The sequence below is a fragment of the Homo sapiens genome, chromosome 14, assembly GCF_000001405.40.
Source record: "Homo sapiens chromosome 14, GRCh38.p14 Primary Assembly".
Classification (NCBI taxonomy): Eukaryota; Metazoa; Chordata; class Mammalia; order Primates; family Hominidae; genus Homo; species Homo sapiens.
Genome location: NC_000014.9, coordinates 35,012,300 through 35,031,424, shown reverse-complemented (window position 1 = coordinate 35,031,424; position 19,125 = coordinate 35,012,300). Strand labels below are relative to the sequence as shown.

The following is a 19,125-nucleotide window of genomic DNA, read 5'->3' as shown; positions in this document are numbered from 1 at the left end:
TTTTTTTTTTTTTTGAGACGGGAGTCTCGCTCCATTGCCCAGGCTGGAGTGCAGTGGCGCACTCTCAGCTTACCACAACCTCCACCTCCCGAGTTCAAGTGATTCTCCTGCCTCAGCCTCCCAAGTAGCTGGGACTACTAGGTGAGTGCCACCATACCTGGCTAATTCTTTTTTATTTTTGGTAGAGACAGGGTTTCACTATGTTAGCCAAGCTGGTCTTGAACTCCTGACCTCATAATCCACCCGCCTGGGCCTCCCAAAGTGCTGGGATTACAGGCATGAACCACCATGCCTGGCTTTTCTTTTTTTGTTGTTGTTGAAACAAGAGTATTGCTCTTGTCACACAGGCTGGAGTGCAGTGGCGCGATCTTGGCTCACTGCAACCTCTGCCTCCCAGGTTCAAGCGACTCCTCTGTCTCAGCCTCTCGAGCAGCTGAGATTACAGGTGTCTGCCACCATGCCCAGCTAATTTTTATACTTTCAATAGAGGCAGGGTTTCACCATGTTGGTCAGACTGGTCTCGAACTCCTGTCAGGTCATTATTTTTAATATATAATAGTGACAACCTAATACTTGCAATTATTTTTCCTTTAGAAGATGTATACATTAGCTATTATCATCGAAGTATATCAAGTTCTTCAAGTATATTTTTGGTATGTAGAAAACATAACAAAAATGGCTTTAAAAAAATGAAAGATTAGGCCAAGCATGGTGGCTCATGCCCATAATCCCAGCACTTTGGGAGGACAGAGTGGGCACATCACTCAAGGCCATGAGTTCAAGACCAGCATGGCCAACATGGTGAAACCTCATCTCTACTAAAAATACAAAAATTGGCCAGGCGCAGTGGCTCATGCCTGTAATCCCAGAACTTTGAGAGGCCGAGACAGGTGGATCACCTGAAGTCAGGAGTTTGAGACCAGCCTGGCCAACATGGCGAAACCCCATCTCTACTAAAAATACAAAAATTAGCCAGACATGGTGGTGCGTACCTGTAATCCCAGCTACTAGGGAGGCTGAGGCAGGAGAATTGCTCAAACCTGGGAGGTGGAGGTTGCAGTGAACCGAGATCATGCCATTGCACTTCAGCCTGGGTGACAGAAGGAGACTCTGTCTCAAAAAAAAAAAAAAAAAAATTAGCCAGGTGTCTTGTCACATGCCTGTAATCCCAGCTACTCAGGAGGCTAAGGCAGGAGAATCACTTGAACCTGGGATGCAGAGGTTGCAGTGAGCCGAGATCGTGCCACTGCACTCCAGCCTGGGCAACAAAGCAAGACCCTGTCTCAAAAAAGAAAAAAAAAAAATCAATGATTGGCTGGGTGCACTGGCTCAGGCCTGTAATCCCAGCACTTTGGGAGACCAAGGCAGGAGGATCACTTGAGCTCAGGAGTTCCAGACCAGCCTGGGCATGAGCCACCATGCTTGGCCTCTTCTTTTTTTTTTTTCTTTTGAGACAGAGTCTCACTCTGTCACCCAGGCTGGAGTGCAGAGGCGCGATCTCGGCTCACTGCAATCTCTGCCTCCCGGGTTCAAGAGATTCTCATGCATCAGCCTCCCGAGTAGCTGGAACTACAGGCATGCATCACTACGCCCAGCTAATTTTTGTAGTTTTAGTAGAGACGGGGTTTCCATGTTGGCCAGGCTGGTCTTGAACTCCTGACCTCAGGTGATCCTCCTTCTGTCACCCAGGCTGAAGAGATCCACACTTCAGCCTCACAAAGTGCTGGGATTAGAGGCGTGAGCCACCGTGCTCGGCCCCAGGCATAGTTTTAAATGACATTTATCTACTGGCTTTTCCATTGAGTTTTTAGTGTGATAAACTGATAATGTTTAACCATAAAGAAAGTTAACAACCCCTTAACTTATAACCACTTTGAAGTTTATTTTACAGCACTTTAATTGAAACATTATTTAACTACTGACCAGGACTGTTTACAAATGCAATGCTTGGCCTTCGAGATAATTAAAAACCTTTAAGTACTAAAATTTTACATCATGATTTAACTTAAGTGTTATGATGGTGAAAACAGAAGAAAATCTAAAGCAAACATATAATGATTTCCACAAAAACCATGTATTTCTCCCTTATATTAAAGGGAGGAAAGAAGGAAGGAAAAAGAAAAGGAGGGGAAAAGCGGGCGAGAAGAAAAGGAAAGAGTGCATGATAAGCAAGAAAAATACACTTTCCCCCCAATTCGCAAAAAGAAGGGAAACGCTGAGGTCTCAGCAAATTAGGTATTCAACTGAGTCAGTTTATATTAAGGCATTTTCTTTACATATTATTGAATCCCATCATGCCTTTCATGTTGCCAGCAGCACCCTGTTGAAACTGCCTCATCATTGACTGAAGTCCTGCCATACCACCTAGAGCAAAAGTAGGGAAGTAGAGTTAAAAACAGAGAATTATTAAGCAGAACTGGAAACATTTATTACTTTTGCCTAATAAGTACTTCTAAAAATACTGAATTCTGATTGCAATTTAGTCATCAGCCTTAAAGAACGTACCACCTAAAAATTTGTATTATCACCAGTTATCTTCATCAATAAAAGAGAATGAATAGCCTATCTTACGGAGTTATTGCGAGGAATAAATGAGGTGATACATAAAAAGATCTTAGGATACTACCGGTCACATAGTCAATAAATCTAAACAAAAAATTTTTTTCTTATAAATCCAAAAGGGTCTTACTCTAAGTTACATAAAAAATAATCAATAGGGGATTATTTCATAGGACTTACAAAAAGAAAATAATTCATTTATTGAACATCTACTATATGCCCAGAATTGTACTGAATGTCTTCATATATATTATCTCATTTAATTGTCACAATTTCTTGATGAGATATGATCTGTGATTTTACCGAAGGGGAAAGTGAGGTTCAGAAAGTTTAAGGAACTTTGTAAAGGTTATATAGTCAAAGTAGAACTCAGGTTAAAAATCCTCAGTCATATAAGTAAAAATATCCAGGTTCTAAAATAAGGGAAAAAGTCACCAGAACAAACAAAAGATGATTAAATAGCTTGCTCAAACATCACACAGATGGCAGCAGAGGAGTGAATAAGACCTCAGCTAATAAGCCCTATTACAATTGAATTCAACTTAGGATTCAGATGACCATTTCCCTGAAATCACACACCTTTTGAACATATTTTCATAATATTACAATAAAAGGCTTATCATTAAAACTCAACCCTTATAAATTAAACTGCATTAGCAACTGCCAACAACTTGGTATTTACCCATGTGATGAAGAACCCTAGGATCCATCATTTTGGCCATTTGTTGGTTCAATTTTGCCATCTGTGACTGGCTCACATTCTTAGACATGTCGCCACCTGAGGGGAAAAAAAAAAAGATTTTGAGTCAGCGTAGGAGGTAATATAATCAGTATAATCAGGGTATAATAGAAAGTTTGATGAACTGAGAAAATACTAAGAAAAAATTACATAATCCTATCACTCTAACATAATTCTTTCTATTTCTACATATTCCCTTCTAATCTTTTTCTCAATTACATACTATTTTTTGAAGACCATGTAAAATTCTATATAAAAGGACATATAAAAGGCTTTTTTAAGGCTACGATTTATGCTAATACTTTATTTATATCTGTGAATAAGCCACTATTAGCAAAATTGTACCCAGTGTTTTATTTTTTATTTATTTTGAGATGGAGTCTTGCTCTGTCACCCAGGCTAGAGTGCAGTGGCGTGATCTCGGCTCACTGCAACCTCCACCTCCCAGGTTCAAGTAATTCTCCTGCCTCAGCCTCCCAAGTAGCTGGGATTACAGGTGCCCGCCACCACACCCAGCTAATTTTTGTATTTTTAGTAGAGACAGGGTTTCACCATCTTGGCCAGGCTGGTCTCAAACACCTGACCTCGTGACCCACTCACCTCAGCCTCCCAGAGTGCTGGGATTACAGGTGTGAGACACCGTACCTGGTCAGCCAGCAGTTTTTAATAGTAAGCTATAACAACGGCTTAATAGTGATACAGGGGAATGCTGGACAAAAAGCTGAGTTTATAGACATGGGTTAATTAGCAAAGAGACTGGATGGCTGGTAGATGAATATGAAAGTATGAGTCTGTTGGGCTGGCTGTGGTGGCTCACAACTATAATCCTAGCACTCTGGGAGGCCGAGGCTGGCAGATCACTTGAGGTCAGGAGTTCGAGACCAGCCTAGCCAACGTGGTGAAACCCCGTCTCCACTAACAATACAAAATAAATTAGTCAGACATGGTGGCACACGCCTGTAGTCCCAGCTACTCAGGAGACTGAGGCAGAATTGCTTGAATCCGGGAGGCGGAGGTTGCAGTGAATCAAGATCGCACCACTGTACTCCAGCCTGGGCGACAGAGCAAGACTCTGTCTCAGAAGAAAAAAAAAAAAAAAAGAAAGTAGAAAGTAAAGTATGAGTCTGAGAGAACGTGAAGATGTGTATGTATCTAAGAAGTTTTTTTTGTTTTGTTTTGTTTTTGAGATGGAGTCTAGCTCTGTCACCCAGGCTGGAGTGCAATGGCACGAACTCAGCCCACTGCAACCCCCGCCTCCCGGGTTCACACCATTCTCCTGTCTCAGCCTCCCGAGTAGCTGGGATTACAGGCATGAGCCACCACACCCAGCTAATTTTTGTATTTTTAGTAGAGACAGGGTTTCACCATTTTGGCCAGGATGGTTTCGATCTCTTGACCTCATGATCTGCCCGCCTTGGCCTCCCAAAGTGCTGGGATTACAGGCGTAGGCCACAGCGCCTGGCCAGAAGTTTTCTTTAAGTAATGAAAACCTTCAGAGAATACAAAGACAAATAATGCAACTTCACTTGTCAAGGAATTTCTACACTATGTCAAAACACCATAGTAAAAAGGGCAGTCAATGAAAGAGATGCAGCCTGGGTGAGGTGGGTCACATTTGTAATCCCAGCACTTCAGGTGGCGAAGGTAGGCTGATTACTTGAGCCCAGGAGTTCAAGATCAGCCTGGGCAACATGGGGAAACCCTGTCTCTACAAAAAAAACAAAAAAAAGCATTAGCTCAGTGTGATAGCATGCGTCTGTAGTCTCAGCTACTTGGGGGCCTCAGATTGGAGGATCGCTTGAGCTTGGGAGGTCAAGGCTGCAGTGAGCCATGATCATGCCATTGCACTTCAGCCCCCAGCCTGGGTGACACAGCGAGACCCTGTCTCAAAACAAAACAAAACAAACAAACAAAAAACAACAAAAAATAAACAACAACAATAAATAAAAAAACAACAACAGAATAGATAAAAACACCCTTTAGACAACAGCTGTACTCATAAAAGAAAGCAAGAGATCATCACTACAACAATGAATAGAACTGCTTCAACAATTTTTTTTTTTTTTTTTTTGAGACAGGCTCTTGCTCTGTCGCCCAGGCTGGAATGCAGTGCTCTGATCATGGCTCACTGCAGCCTTGCCCTCCTGGGCTCATGGGATCCTCCTGCCTTGGCCTCTCAAAGTGCTGGGATTACAAGTATGAGCCACCACAACCATCCAAAATTATTTATTTGAAAGGGGCATTAACTATGGTACTTCTCAGAAGCATTTATAAAATATGGGACTCAAAGCTCCTCCTGATTCTCCAATCACAGCTGGTTAATGTGAATAAATCATGTGAATTATAAACTATGAATGAAAGAGAAGATTATGTTTTTATGATAAAATCTGTGAAAACCATTTATGATGAATAAATCTGAAGAAGATGGGAATTCCATGCTCATTAGTGATTTGTCCTAAGAGTTTGTTTATCAGCATTTAAAACTTCTAAAAAGTATTTCAAGTTTGGTGTGACATAGCTGTGTGTATACCCACTGCCAACTTCATCTTGGGTTATTCCTTTATTGAGGGATCAATGCATAGATAAGATCTGGATGGTGAATCTGTTCTATCAAGAACAGTCAGGACTACATGGGAAAGACATTACAGTGATGTAATGTGTTTATTAGTCACTATCTGAAATAGCATGTGATGGTAGGAATTATAACCAATTTTCAACATGTTTGTCTAATTTTTTTGTCACAAAAGAGAAAATAGGATATCGCAAGGAAAATAAGGAAAGCTTCAAAGACAAAAGGTAATTTAAAACATCTGGAAATACTCATTCTTTTAGAAGCTATTCAATGGTATTGTTCATATTCAGAGCTTGTCTAATTAATATTTTTGGAAACAATAAATTCATTTTAATGGGTTTCAAGGCAAATTTTCACAGACTCTGAATTAGTTGTTTACATTATAGAAAAAAATCAAAAAGAGGACTGGAACAGTTGGAAGTCTTTGGAAAACCTTATCTTTTTACGATACATAATACACAGCAAAATAAATTCAATTGAGATTAAAAAGTCAAACACAAAATAAAAACAAAAACAAGTAGAAGCCAGGTGTTGTGGCTCATGCCTGTAATCCCAGAGCATTTTAGGAAGCTAAGGCGGGCGAATCACTTGAGGTTGGGAGTTTGAGACCAGCCTGGCCAGTAAAGATGGTGAAACCCAGTCTCTACTAAAAATACAAAAATTAGTTGGGCATGGTGGCACGTGCTTGAAATCCCAGCTACTCGGGAGACTGAGGCAGGAGAATAGCTTGAACCCAGGAGGCGGAGGTTGCAGTGAGCTGAGATCATGCCAGTGCACTCCAGCCTGGGCGACAGAGCAAGACTCTGTCTCAAAAAAAGAAGAAAATGGTGACAACTGTGGTATCAACATGGAGAAGGTTAACTTGATTACCTCTGTAAAGAAAAAAAAAAAAGGAAAAAATAAACAAGGGGAAGCTGTTTATGAGCATAAAAGAAATAAAAAAAGATAGGCTGGCTACATTAAAAAGGGCAACTACTGTTCATTATAAAATATAAATAAAAATAAAAGGTAAATGAAAAACTGGGGGAAAATATTTGAAGACATAAACCAAAGATTTTAAGGAGCTATTACAAAGATATAAGGGGGAAAAATGGAAGAACTGGACAGGGAACATGAAGAGGTGATTCACAAAGTAAATTCAAACCAGTAAATGTACAAAGAAATGTTAAACTTAATAATGTAAAAACACATATTGAGAAAATATTCAACCATTAAAATGGAAGTGAGGCCGGACGTGGTGGCTCAAGCCTGTAATCCCAGCACTTTGGGAGTCCGAGGCGGGCACATCATTTGAGGTCAGGAGTTCAAGACCAGCCTGGCCAACATAGTGAAACCCCGTCTCTACTAAAAATACAAAAATTAGCCAGGCGGTAGTGGTGCATGCCTTTAATCCCAGTTACTCGGGAGGCTGAGGCAGGAGAATTGTTTGAGCCTGGGAAGCAGAGGCTGCAGTGAGCCGAGATTGTGCCACTGCACTCCAGTCTGGGTGACAGAGAGAGACTCTGTCTCAAAATAATATAAATAAAGAAATATAATGGAAATTATATTACTACAAAATTTTTTTAGCTTCTACTATGTTTCTGATCAAAACAGGCAAAAATCCCTGGTCTCATGGAACTGCACAAAAACTGATCTGATATAGAAGTGAATGAATCAGCCTTACTGTCCAAAAAAGTGGCACTACATTAGACAAAGATACATGCATAACTTAAACAGTATTACTCAGAAGAAGTGTGTGTGTGTGTGTGTGTGTGTGTGTGTGTGTGTTTGGGGACCGGAGTCTCACTCTGCTGCCCAGGCTGGAGTACAGTGGTACAATCTCGGCTCACTGCAAGCTCCGCCTCCTGGGTTCAAGTGATTCTCCTGCCTCAGCCTCCCGAGTAGCTGGGATAACAGGTACACCCCACGACACCCGGATATTTTTTGTATTTTAAGTAGAGGCAGGGTTTCACCATGCTGGCCAGGCTGGTCTTGAACTCCTGACCTCAAGTGATCCGCCCGCCTCAGCCTCCCAAAGTGCTAGGATGACAGGCATGAGCCATCGTGCCTGGCCAAGAATTATGTTTTGAAGAATATTTGACAACATGGAAAAACAGTTATGATATATCAGAAGAAAACTTAGTTATAGCAACTGTTATTTGCAGTAGGATCCACTGGATTCTCTGGGGAGTAAAGGTAATGTGTTTTTTTTTTCCTTATATTATCTAAATTTAATATAATGTGTTCACAAAAAGAAAATCATTGCTTTATTAATTTTTTTTCATTTACCCACACTACACAGATGTAAAGTTTTTTTTTAAATATTAATATTACCTTGAATATGAAAACAGATAAATCACAGGTCACATAAATCCTGGAAGTACTTGAAAATAACATGAAATTCAGCTGTGAATTTTCCAATACTGGCAGCACTCTTTTTTCTCAACTTCCTTTCTTTTCCGTCTGTTAACTAATAACAAGCTTATTTTTCTTACCTTTGAAAAGTCCTTTGATACCTCCCATCTTTTTTACCATCTGTGCAAACTTGGTATATTGTGTCAAAAGTTCTTGAACATCTCTTGTTGATACACCCGATCCTCTTGCTACTCTTTGGATTCTTCCTGGTTGTTTACTAAAAACTTTGGCACCATCCGTACTGTCTAGTTCTGTAGACAAGGTCAGTTACTCTCACACACAATTATCATTCACCATCAAAGCAGTTATGTGCAAATGGGCAATATATAACTTCAAAGAGCTTAGCAGATGTTTTTAAAGTGATAACTATCTCATTTTTCTTTTTATATTACAAAATATCTTACATACAGAAAAACAGACATAATACATAGTCAAACTACCACCCAGATTTAACAAATGTTAACATTCGCTATGTTTGCTTTTGAGTTTTAAAAATTAAACATGGAGGCCAGGCGTGGTGGCTCATGCCTGTAATCACAACACTTTGTGAGGCCGAGGCAGGCAGCTCATGAGGTCAGGAGTTCGACACCAGCCTGGCCAATATGGTGAAACCCTGTCTTTACTAATAATACAAAAATTAGCTGGGCATGGTGGCATGTGCCTGTAGTCCCAGCTACTCGGGAGGCTGAGGCAGAAGAATCGCTTGAACCTGGGAGGCAGAGGTTGCAGTGAGCCAAGATTGCGCCATTGCACTCCAGCCTGGGCGACAGAGCGAGACTCCATCTCAAAAAAAAAAAGAAAATACGGAATATATTCAAAAGAACATTTATAGTATTCATAAGCTATAAAAACAATGAAACAAACATGTACTTTCCCTACAGTTTAAGTAAACTATTAATAGAATGTTTCGAGACCCCATGTCCAACATTTCCATACTTCATATGTCTACCCTCTCCAGGCCCTCCAAACATCAGAGGTATATGGTATATTTAAAAAATGAACACAAATGCTCACTTTAGCTCTACCCTAAATATTAATCATAAATTCATAATGTAGACTATATAAGCAAGCAGAAAGAGGTACGTTCTATCCATAATCAACAGAAAAATTATTTCCTATAATCAAGTAATTACTACTACTAGTATTTTAATTCTCTCAGTAGCATATAGTGAATTAATTCCCGCAGTTGTTTGATCACTCTTAGAATATCAGGTGCATTTCTTCTAGCTTCAGTTGCATGCAATCTCAGGAATGGGATGGACTTTAGTCAAAATGTCCATTATGTCTGCATTCCCTCTGCAATATCCCCCAAATAAATGGTTATCTAGCCTTGGTCTTAATATCCCCAGGAGAGATGACCTGCTATCTAATGTAAGGCTGTCTATGCCATTCTGTTATACTTAGGGAAAAATCTTTTCTTTACACATATTAAATTGAAATCCATTTACGTGGCACTTCCATTCCTATTCATGTATATGTCTCCTTGCTACGCATAAAAAATAAGGCTTTCAAAATCTTTTTTTTTTTTGAGACAGAGTGTTGCTCTGTCCCTCAGGCTGGAGTGCAGTGGTGCAAGCTTCGCTCACTGCAACCACCACCTCCAGGGTTCAAGCGATTCTCCCACCTCAGGCTCCTGAGTAGCTGGAACTATAGGCACACGCCACCACAGCCAGCTAATTTTTTTTGTACTTTTAGTAAAGACAGGGTTTCACCATGTTGCCCAGGCTGGTCTCGAACTCCTGACCTCAAGTGATCCACCGACCTCAGCCTCCCAAAATGCTGGGATTACAGTTGAGAGCCACCGCACCTGGCCAGCTTTCAAATGCATAAGAGCTACCATGTCTCCTGTGAATTTTCGCTGGATGACAAATATCCACCTCTGACTCTTCTAACATGGTTTAGAACCCCATTTATCATCCTGATTTCCTACATCTTTTAATTTGTCTATACATACCCTCTAAGTATATTGTCCAGAAGTGAACTGAAATCCAGGTGAAGTCTAATTATCAATGCAATACTAACAAAGATACAATATCTCAAAATAAAGTCACGATCAAAACCTCCAAATCCATTTCATAAATGCAGCTTTTAAGCCACATCTTCCTTATAAAAGATTTATGAAACATATATATTATATTCCTTCCAACAGCTCAAATCAAATGAAAGAAGATAAACTAATAGCAGCACATCGTGGCAAGTAATACGACAGAGTTAAGCAAATAGAGGAAGGGGCGTTAATTCAAAGAAGGAAGGAAGTCAGGAAAGGTTCTATACTGGGCAAATTACTCAACTTCCCTGTATCCCAGTTTCCTAATTTGAAAAAGGCAGATAATAACTGAATATGCCATAGGAGTTGTTATGATGATAAAATGAATTAATATATTTAAAGTGCTCAGGACAGTGCCTGGCACAGAATGGATACTTTAGATATGCTGCAATTATGAATTCTACATGCAAACATTTTTGCAGTGTTAAAGACAGTGAGGAAAAAAAACAACCTTAAAAGAAAAAGACAGTCTTATTTGGGCTACTATGAAAACCTGGAGCTCAGGAAAAAGAGACTACAAAAAAATAACAATAAATCAGATAGTAGATAAAGCACAGATATGAAAAATTGTTCAAATTGTTAGAATATTACATAAACTTAGTTGATAAAGCAGCAGCAGCAGGGTTTGACAGAACTGACTCCAATTTTGGAAGACGTTCTACTGTGGGTAAAATGCTATCGAACAGCATCGAATACTACAGAGAAATCTTTTGTGAAAAGAAGAGTCAATCAATGGGGCAAATTTCATTCTTGTGTTTTAAGAAATTGTCACAGCCACCTTGACCTTTGGCAACCATCACTGTAATCAGTTAGCAGTCATCAACATCAAGCTAAGGCCCTCCACCAGCAAAAAGATTATAATGCACTGAAGGCTTAGATGATCATTAGCATTTTTAGCAATAAACTATATTTTTTTATTTTTTTCTTTTGAGACAGAGTCTCACTCTGTCGCCCAGGCTGGAGTGCAATGACACAATCTCGGCTCACTGCAACCTCCGCCTCCCGGGTTCAAGCGATTCTCCTGCCTCAGCCTCCCAAGTAGCTGGGATTACAGGTGTGTGCCACCACGCCCGGCTAATTTTTTTGTATTTTTAGTAGAAACGGGGTTTTACCATGTTAGCCAGGCTGGTGTCAAACTCCTGACCTCAGGTGATCCGCCCGCCTCAGCCTCCCAAAGTGCTGGGATTACAGGCGTCGTGAGCCACTGCGCCCGGCCAACAATCAACTATTTTTAAATTAAGGTATATACATTGTTTTTTAGATATAATGCTCTTGCACACTTAATAGACTACAGTATATGTATTTGTAAACATAACTTTTATATACACTGGAAAACCAAAACAATCTGTATGACTGACTTTATTGCATGATATTTCCTTTACTGCAGTGGTCTAGAACCAAACCCACAGTATCTCTGAGGCATGCCTTTATAGGGTCAGGGGAACAGAGCAGTATACTGAGAAAACTGAATTCTTATGTTTCAGACAGAAAGAATTTTCTAAGCATTGCTTAAGCTATCCATTTCTTAGTTTCCCAATGTATGTTAGCAATATTAAAGCTCCGTGAAGAGACTTTCAGTAAATAATTTTTTTTCATAGAGGCAGGGTCTTGCTACGTTTGGCCAGGTTGGTCTTAAACTCCTGGCCTCAAGTAATCTTCCCACCTTGGCCTGCCAAAGTGCTAGGATTACAGGTGTGAGCCACCTCACCCAGCCAAATTTAACTCTTTAAAAACTAGCATTCCACCACATTTGACTCAGAGTTCTCCTTTTAAGTTAACTCTATGAACATCATGAAGAACTAGTGTTCTTTCCTTGTAACTCATTTGGAGAAGTATTATACTAGACATTTCTCTCAACGATGAAGGCAATCCAATAATCATAACCCTTTGAGTAAGAGCTTTCAAGCTATTACAAATCTACCTAAAAATAATCTTTCAGGCTAAATTTCTCCCCATCTTGTCCACAAGAATACAGTGAAACTCTCATCTTACTGATACTCAGAACATTTTTGCCTGAGGAAAATAATCTGCCATCTTACCTTGATCATTCATACTATCCATTATTGTCATTAATTTCTTTAGCCTTGCCATTGACTCCTGTTCATTTCCTTTGCTCATAAAATCTGTCCCAAAACCAGGGATCATCCCCTACAACAGATTTAAACATAAAGTCAATAGTAGCTTAAGATTAATGGTTCAAAATGTCCACATTTAACTATTAGGTTTAATATTGACACTAAGTCTTAGATATATTTTTACCCGAATGTAAAAATAATTAAAGCAAGTGTATCTATTTTAGAAAATTTAATGAAAACAAAAGAAGGTATAAAGTTTTAAGGATAACTAACCAAGATCTGACTGAAGGGGCCCATTTTCATGATATTTTGAAATTGCTCATACATGTCTCGCAACGTAAACTGACCTGAAATACAATGTAAATAATTCGGATATATTAAAGTATGTACATTTCCATTCAACAAAACTAATTTATTCCTTAATCATGAATTCATCTTGAAGCATATTTATAAAATATACATCAATAAATATTCACCAAGCAGTTACCATGTGCAAGATGACAGGATGAATGCTGGGGAGAATACATAGACAAAGACAGGTCCTATCATAGAGAAGCTTACATTCTATCTGAGAAGACACATATACAAACACACAAGAAACCTGAAAACAAGGCACATAAACTACACCTACTAGGATGAGTAAAATTTTAAAGGTTGACAATATCAAAAGTTAAAGTGGATGTGGACCACAAAGAACTCCCATATATTGGTGAGAATATAGAATAGCAAGACACTTTAGAAGATTGTTTGGAGTTTCTTAAATAGCTTAGGTATCTATGAACAGGAAAATGGATACACTGTGGAAAAAATATTATTCAGCAATAAAAAGAACAAACTATAGATAAGTACAACTACATGAATTAATATCAAAATATGCTTAGTCAAAGAAAACAGATTGGAAGAAAAACGATATACTCAGAATTTCTTTATTTTTTTAAGAGGGTTGTGCTCTATCACTGAGACTGGATTGAAGTGGTACAGTCATCACACACTGGTAGCCTCAAACTCTTGAGCTCAAGTGACCGCCTGCCTCAGTCTCCAGAGTAGTTATGACTATGGATGCATGCCACTGGATTTTTCTAAGAGATATGGGTCTCACTACATTGCCCAGGCTGGTCTCAAACTCCTGACCTCAAATGATCCTCCCACCTTGGCCTCCTAAAGCACTAGGATTACAGTGTGAGCCACCATGCACAGCCCAGGACTTCTATAATATGAAGTATTACCGGGAAAGGGCACAAGCAAACCTTTTAGAGTAATGGAAATGTTCTGTTTCTTGATTGGGTGTGGGTTACTGTGCATTTGTCAAAAAAAGAAAGGTATCCTTAGGATTTGAGCATTTCATTGTATGTATACTAACCTAAGGTTTAAAAACAGGGATGGAACAAGCCAAAAGAGAAAGTATTTTCTATTTATGTCCTAAAGATAAAAAGAGAAAAGGTATTTGGTTCAGGCATTCTGAATGTGAAGTGGCAGTACAGTATCTTAAAAGAAATGTTATAGCAGTCAACTAGAAACGCAGAATTAAACAGTGGAAGAGAGGATTAAGGTTGAAATACATATTTGGCCATTTATACAGAAGTGATAATTAAAGCTAGAATAATATAAGAAATCCACAGACATAGAACTTAGAGTCTGAAAACAGAAAAGGCAGAAAACACTTAAATATTAGGAACCAAGGAAAACAAGAAAGGTCACTACATGTGGAAATTAGGAGACCCTTGGAGATCTCAGAATGAGTAGAATATTAGAAATAGAAACAAAAATGTAGAGACTTAAGGAGAGTCAGGAGTCAGAAAGGAAACAGAGTAGGAATATACACCCAGCTTCATAGTGGTAGCAGAAACAGTGGTAGGATTATCCAAGATAGAAAAAGGAAGGAGCGGCCAGGCAAGGTGGCTCATGCCTGTAATCTCAGCACTTTGGGAGGCCGAGGCAGGCAGATCACCTGAGGCCAGGAGTTCGAGATCAGCCTGGCCACCATGGTGAAACCCCATTTCTACTAAAAATGCAAAAATTAGCCGGGCGTGGCAGTGCATGCCTGTAGTCCCAGCTAATGGGGAGGCTGAGGCAGGAGAACTGCTTCAAACTGGGAGGCGGAGGTTGCACTGAGCTGAGATTGTGCCAATGCACTCCAGCCTGGGCAACAAGAGTGAAACTCTGTCTCAAAAAAAGAAGAAAAAAAAAAAAAAAGAAAAGAAAAAAAAGGGGCAAAGAGACAGGCAACAAAGGATAAATTCATTCATTCAATAGTTGCTGAAGGCCTACTATGTGCCAGACACTGTGCTAGGTACTGTGAACATAAAAAATGAGTAACCCAGCTATGACCTCTACCTTCACCTTCAAGCAGGAAAAACAGACATCAAATAATTGTGCTGAATAATATAAAAATTAATTGTAGGAAGTGATAGAAACATCTGTCAGAAGGTTCCAACTCAGTCTAGGGTTCAGGTGAAATGTCCCTGAAGAAGGACATTTAAGGAGAAATCTGAAGTGCAAGTAGCAGTTAGCCATCTTGGCCAGAGGAGATGATGGCAGAGGTAAGAAGAGAGATAGAGGGACTGGCAAAGGCAACAGCCCAGATGTGAGAGACAGGAATGTACATTTGAGAAACTAAAAGAAGTCCAGCATAGCTGGCACACAGAATACTAAGAACAACAATGCTAAAACACAACATGGAAGATGTGAGCTAGACAGTAAAATCAGTTAAAAACTTTAAAAGGGCAAGAGAAAGCCACTAAAGAATTTTAAGAAAAGCAGTAATGGGATCAGATTTGCAGTTTTGAAAGATTATTCTGGGCTGTAGTATGAAAAAATACATCAAAGGGGAAGAGTACAGGAAGATGGAAGATCTGTTGAAAGACTTACAATAAGAAGATCTAGGAAAGAGATGAACTAGCATAGTTGAAGGGCAGCTACAGAGAAGGGGATGGAATGGAGATATTTAGGAGGTGGAAACACTTGGACTAGTTAACTGATGGAGAAAGGAGTGGGCAGAGTGAGGAAGAAATAATAATGACACCCAAGTTTCTGACTCTGGCAACAATATAAATGATATTAATATTCATTGATAAGACAACGAGGTGAGAGGTTGGGATGGGAATAAGGATATGCTGAATTTGAGATGTCTATGAAACATCCAAGAATGGTCTAGTAAACACAGATACATGAGTCTGAAGCTCCTGAGAAAGATAACTTCGAATGATCCCTGAGAAACACCAGCATTTAAGAGAAAAGTAAAGGCACAATTATCTGGTAAGATGAGTGAGAAGAAGCAAAGAGGCAGAATAGTTGCTACGGTAATTAAAGATTATTTTTAGAACAACTGGAATGGTTGAGAATAATATACATTGAGTGTTTATGATGTGCCAGACATTGTACATGCATCAGCGAATGCAATCTTCACAACCATATGAAGTAGTTAGTATTATGTACGTTTTATAGATGACAAAATTGAGGCTAAGTAATTTAAAAAGTTATAAAGCTAAAAAATAGATCAGAGATACAAAAACAGGTATGTTATATTTAAGAACCTGAGCTCCTAATCAGAATAATATCCTTCTCTACAGGAGTGGTCTTTCATGTGGGGTAAAGAAAATGTGGTATATTTAATTTCATCCTTGTGTTCTAACTTACTTTTAACCTGTTTAACTTCAAGGAACCGGCCAAGCACAGTGGTTCACACCTGTAATCTCAGCACTTTGGGAGGCTGAGGTGGGTGGATCACCTGAGGTCAGCAGTTCAAGACCAGCCTGGCCAACATGGCAAAACCCATCTCTACTAAAAATACAAAAATTAGCCGGGCCTGGTGGTACGTGCCCGTAATCCCAGCTACTCAGGAGGCTGAGGCAGGAGAATCACTTGAACCCAGGAGGTGGAGTTTGCGGTGAGCCAAGATTGCACCACTGCACTCCAGCCTGGGTAACAGAGTGAGACTCTGTCTTAAAAAACAGAAAAACTTCAAGGAACCTAGTGAAAGCCTTATTTTAATCTTAATTTTATTACAATAAAGAAAATAAAAACACTGAATTCTGTAACTGCTCAGGTACCTGAGATTTTAAATGATTTGCATATAAATCATCTAAAATAATAAGCAGTGGAAGATCTGACTCTAACAGATATTACATTTCAAATAACTTAATAGTAACTTTATAAAAAAAATCAATGGAAGAAATCTGAGATGAAGTGCTTTTTTGTCACTCATATACCATGTTTCAACTTCTCTATAAGTGCTTCATTGTCATCCAACTTCAACTCGTTGACTTTATCTATCAGTCCTTCAATGTCGCCCATACCTATAAGATACAAAAAAGAAAAATTAACAACTAATACTATACCCTGCTTCACATTATACAAAACACATTCACATACATAATAACCTTGTGAGGTTATAATAGGTTAGGTATTCTTACTACACTACACAAATGAGAAAACCAAAGCTAAGAAAGTTAAGTGGCATGGCCAGGAGCGGTGGCTCATGCCTGTAATCCCAGCACTTTGGGAGGCCAAGGTGGGTGGATCACCTGAGGTCAGGAGTTTGAGACTAGCCTGGCCAACATGGTGAAACCCCGTCTCTACTAAAAATAAAAAAAAATTAGCTGGACCTGGTGGTGCACGCCTGTAATCCCAGCTACCTGGGAGGCTAAGGCAGGAAAATCGCTTGAACCCGGGAGGCTGAAGGTGCAGTGAACTGAGATCCCGCCATTGCACTCCAGCCTGGGTGACAAGAGCGAAACTCCGTCTCAAAAAAAAAAAAAAAAAAAGTTAAGTGGCAACAAACAAGTGGCAAAGCAAGGACTGCAGCCCAGGGTTTAACTCCAAATTCCATGCTCTCTAACTATACCACCTTGAGACATTGCCAAAGTATTACTGCCCTTACATCCACTATTATTAAAACCACTTGTTTTTGTACTGTGCTCTAAAACTTTTCCAAAGAACTTTCTACTAGATACCTCATTTTACCACTTTCACCACAGAGGGCAGATAACCATTATCTCTATTTTACAGGTAAGGAAACTAAGTCACAGAAAGAAATGATGTGCTTAAATTAGTGAGGACAGAATTAAAATCCTATTTTGTCCTAAAGATACATCGTATTTCTTGGAGATTTTTCTATATCCCCACCACTGTACATACCAAGAAGTTTGCTAATAAAAGGCTGTGTTTTGAAAGGTTCAAAGTCATCTATATGTTCCCCTGTACCAATGAAAATAATCGGACTTTTTGTGGCAGCGACTCTGGAAAAAAAAAGAAAATATAAAATAACCTCAAAAGAACCCCACAAATTTCCAGCAGATCTGAAATTCGAAGTGAATCCGCCTCCAAAGCTAATTAGACAAAGGTACAAAACTCAAGTTTCATTTCACAAGTTATAATAGACCTATATCAGACAGGCTCCAAAATTGTTTCTATTTAAACTTTCTTTATAAACCATATTAGGCTCACTATTGAAACATATTTTAAATGATCAATATGAAAGCTATAAACACATATCCTTCCCCATATAATCCCAAGACAGAGGACAACAGTATCAATGATACTTACGCACTGAGTGCACCACCTCCTTTTGCATGGCCATCAAGTTTTGTCACTATTACTGAGGCTACATCTACTTTATCTTTAAAAGCCTTAGCCTGGGCTTCACAAGCCTGCCCAATGGAGGCATCCATCACATAAACAATGTTATCAGGTTGCTAGAAAGTTTAAATAGAAAAGATACTTTAGAAAAGATTTTTATTGATCCTAAGCAAATGTCATCATTAGAAGCTATAAAACAATATTTAGAGCCAGGTGCAGTGGCTCATGCCTGTAATCCCAGCACTTTGGGAGGCCGAGCCAGGTGGATCACCTGAGATAGTTCAAGACCAGCCTGGCCAACATGGTGAAAACCCCGTCTCTACTAAAAATACAAAAATTAGCATACAAAAATTAGCCAGGCATGGTGGCGAGTGCCTGTAATCCCAGCTACTTGAGAGGCTCAGGCAGGAGAATCACTTGAACCCGGGAGGCAGAGGTTGCAGTCAGCTGAGATCATGCCACTGCACTCCAGCCTGGGCGACAAGAGTGAAACTCCATCTCAAAAAAAAAAAAAAAAAAACTACAACATTTACACTATAAATAATTATTCAATCCATAAATATTTGTTGAAGTACTATGTATTATCAGGTACCATCTAGGTCATGAGAACAAAAAGGTAAATGAGAAAATATTTGTCCTAAGAAACTTGCATTCTAGTCAGAGGACATATATAATAAATAGATAAACATTTCAGATGTATAACAACGAAAATGGGATACAGAGTATCAGTTTTGAAGTATGGGAGGCATTTTCTAGTAAGGTAGTCAGGGAAGGCCTCTCTGGACCTAATGTTTGAGCTGAGGCCTGAATAAAGAGGAAAAGGTTATATGCAAAGATTTGAAAGAATGGCAATCTAGGCAAAAAAAGTACAAAGGCAAATCAAAGTAGAAGAGTGTATACTGAAAACGGATAAAATATACTTGAGGCTACTTCCCTTAGATCTGCTCAACTTGGTCAAAATAACAACATAACTGAAAAGAAACTTATTAGCATTAACCACAAACCAAAGAATTACTGCTAACACTCCAATGTCAAGACGTGGGTTCCTAATAATATATGCTGCAGATATCTATAAACTGCTTCTCCTCCCCCAAATTGTTTCCATCACACTTTTAAAGAGACACAAAATGATAATTAATATTTTTTAAAGTATTTAAAAATC

General features: G+C 39.2%; 1 protein-coding gene across 5 annotated transcripts in view; it reads right to left on the bottom strand.

Moving 5' to 3' along the window:
- Nucleotides 1-1,857: 1,857 nt before the first annotated feature.
- SRP54 (signal recognition particle 54) overlaps nt 1,858-19,125 on the bottom strand; it is a 46,576-nt gene continuing 29,308 nt past the window's right edge. For 4 of the 5 annotated variants that reach the window (NM_003136.4, NM_001146282.2, NM_001440813.1 and 1 more), the window contains 8 exons: nt 17,931-18,079; nt 17,523-17,623; nt 16,595-16,681; nt 12,660-12,733; nt 12,351-12,459; nt 8,345-8,515; nt 3,242-3,337; nt 1,858-2,364 (listed from right to left, as the gene is read on the bottom strand). In NM_003136.4, the coding sequence (NP_003127.1) occupies nt 2,273-2,364; nt 3,242-3,337; nt 8,345-8,515; nt 12,351-12,459; nt 12,660-12,733; nt 16,595-16,681; nt 17,523-17,623; nt 17,931-18,079 (879 nt within the window). In that variant the 3' untranslated portion in view covers nt 1,858-2,272. The remainder of the gene's footprint in view (nt 2,365-3,241; nt 3,338-8,344; nt 8,516-12,350; nt 12,460-12,659; nt 12,734-16,594; nt 16,682-17,522; nt 17,624-17,930; nt 18,080-19,125) is intronic. The other variant, NM_001411017.1, reaches the window with a different exon arrangement.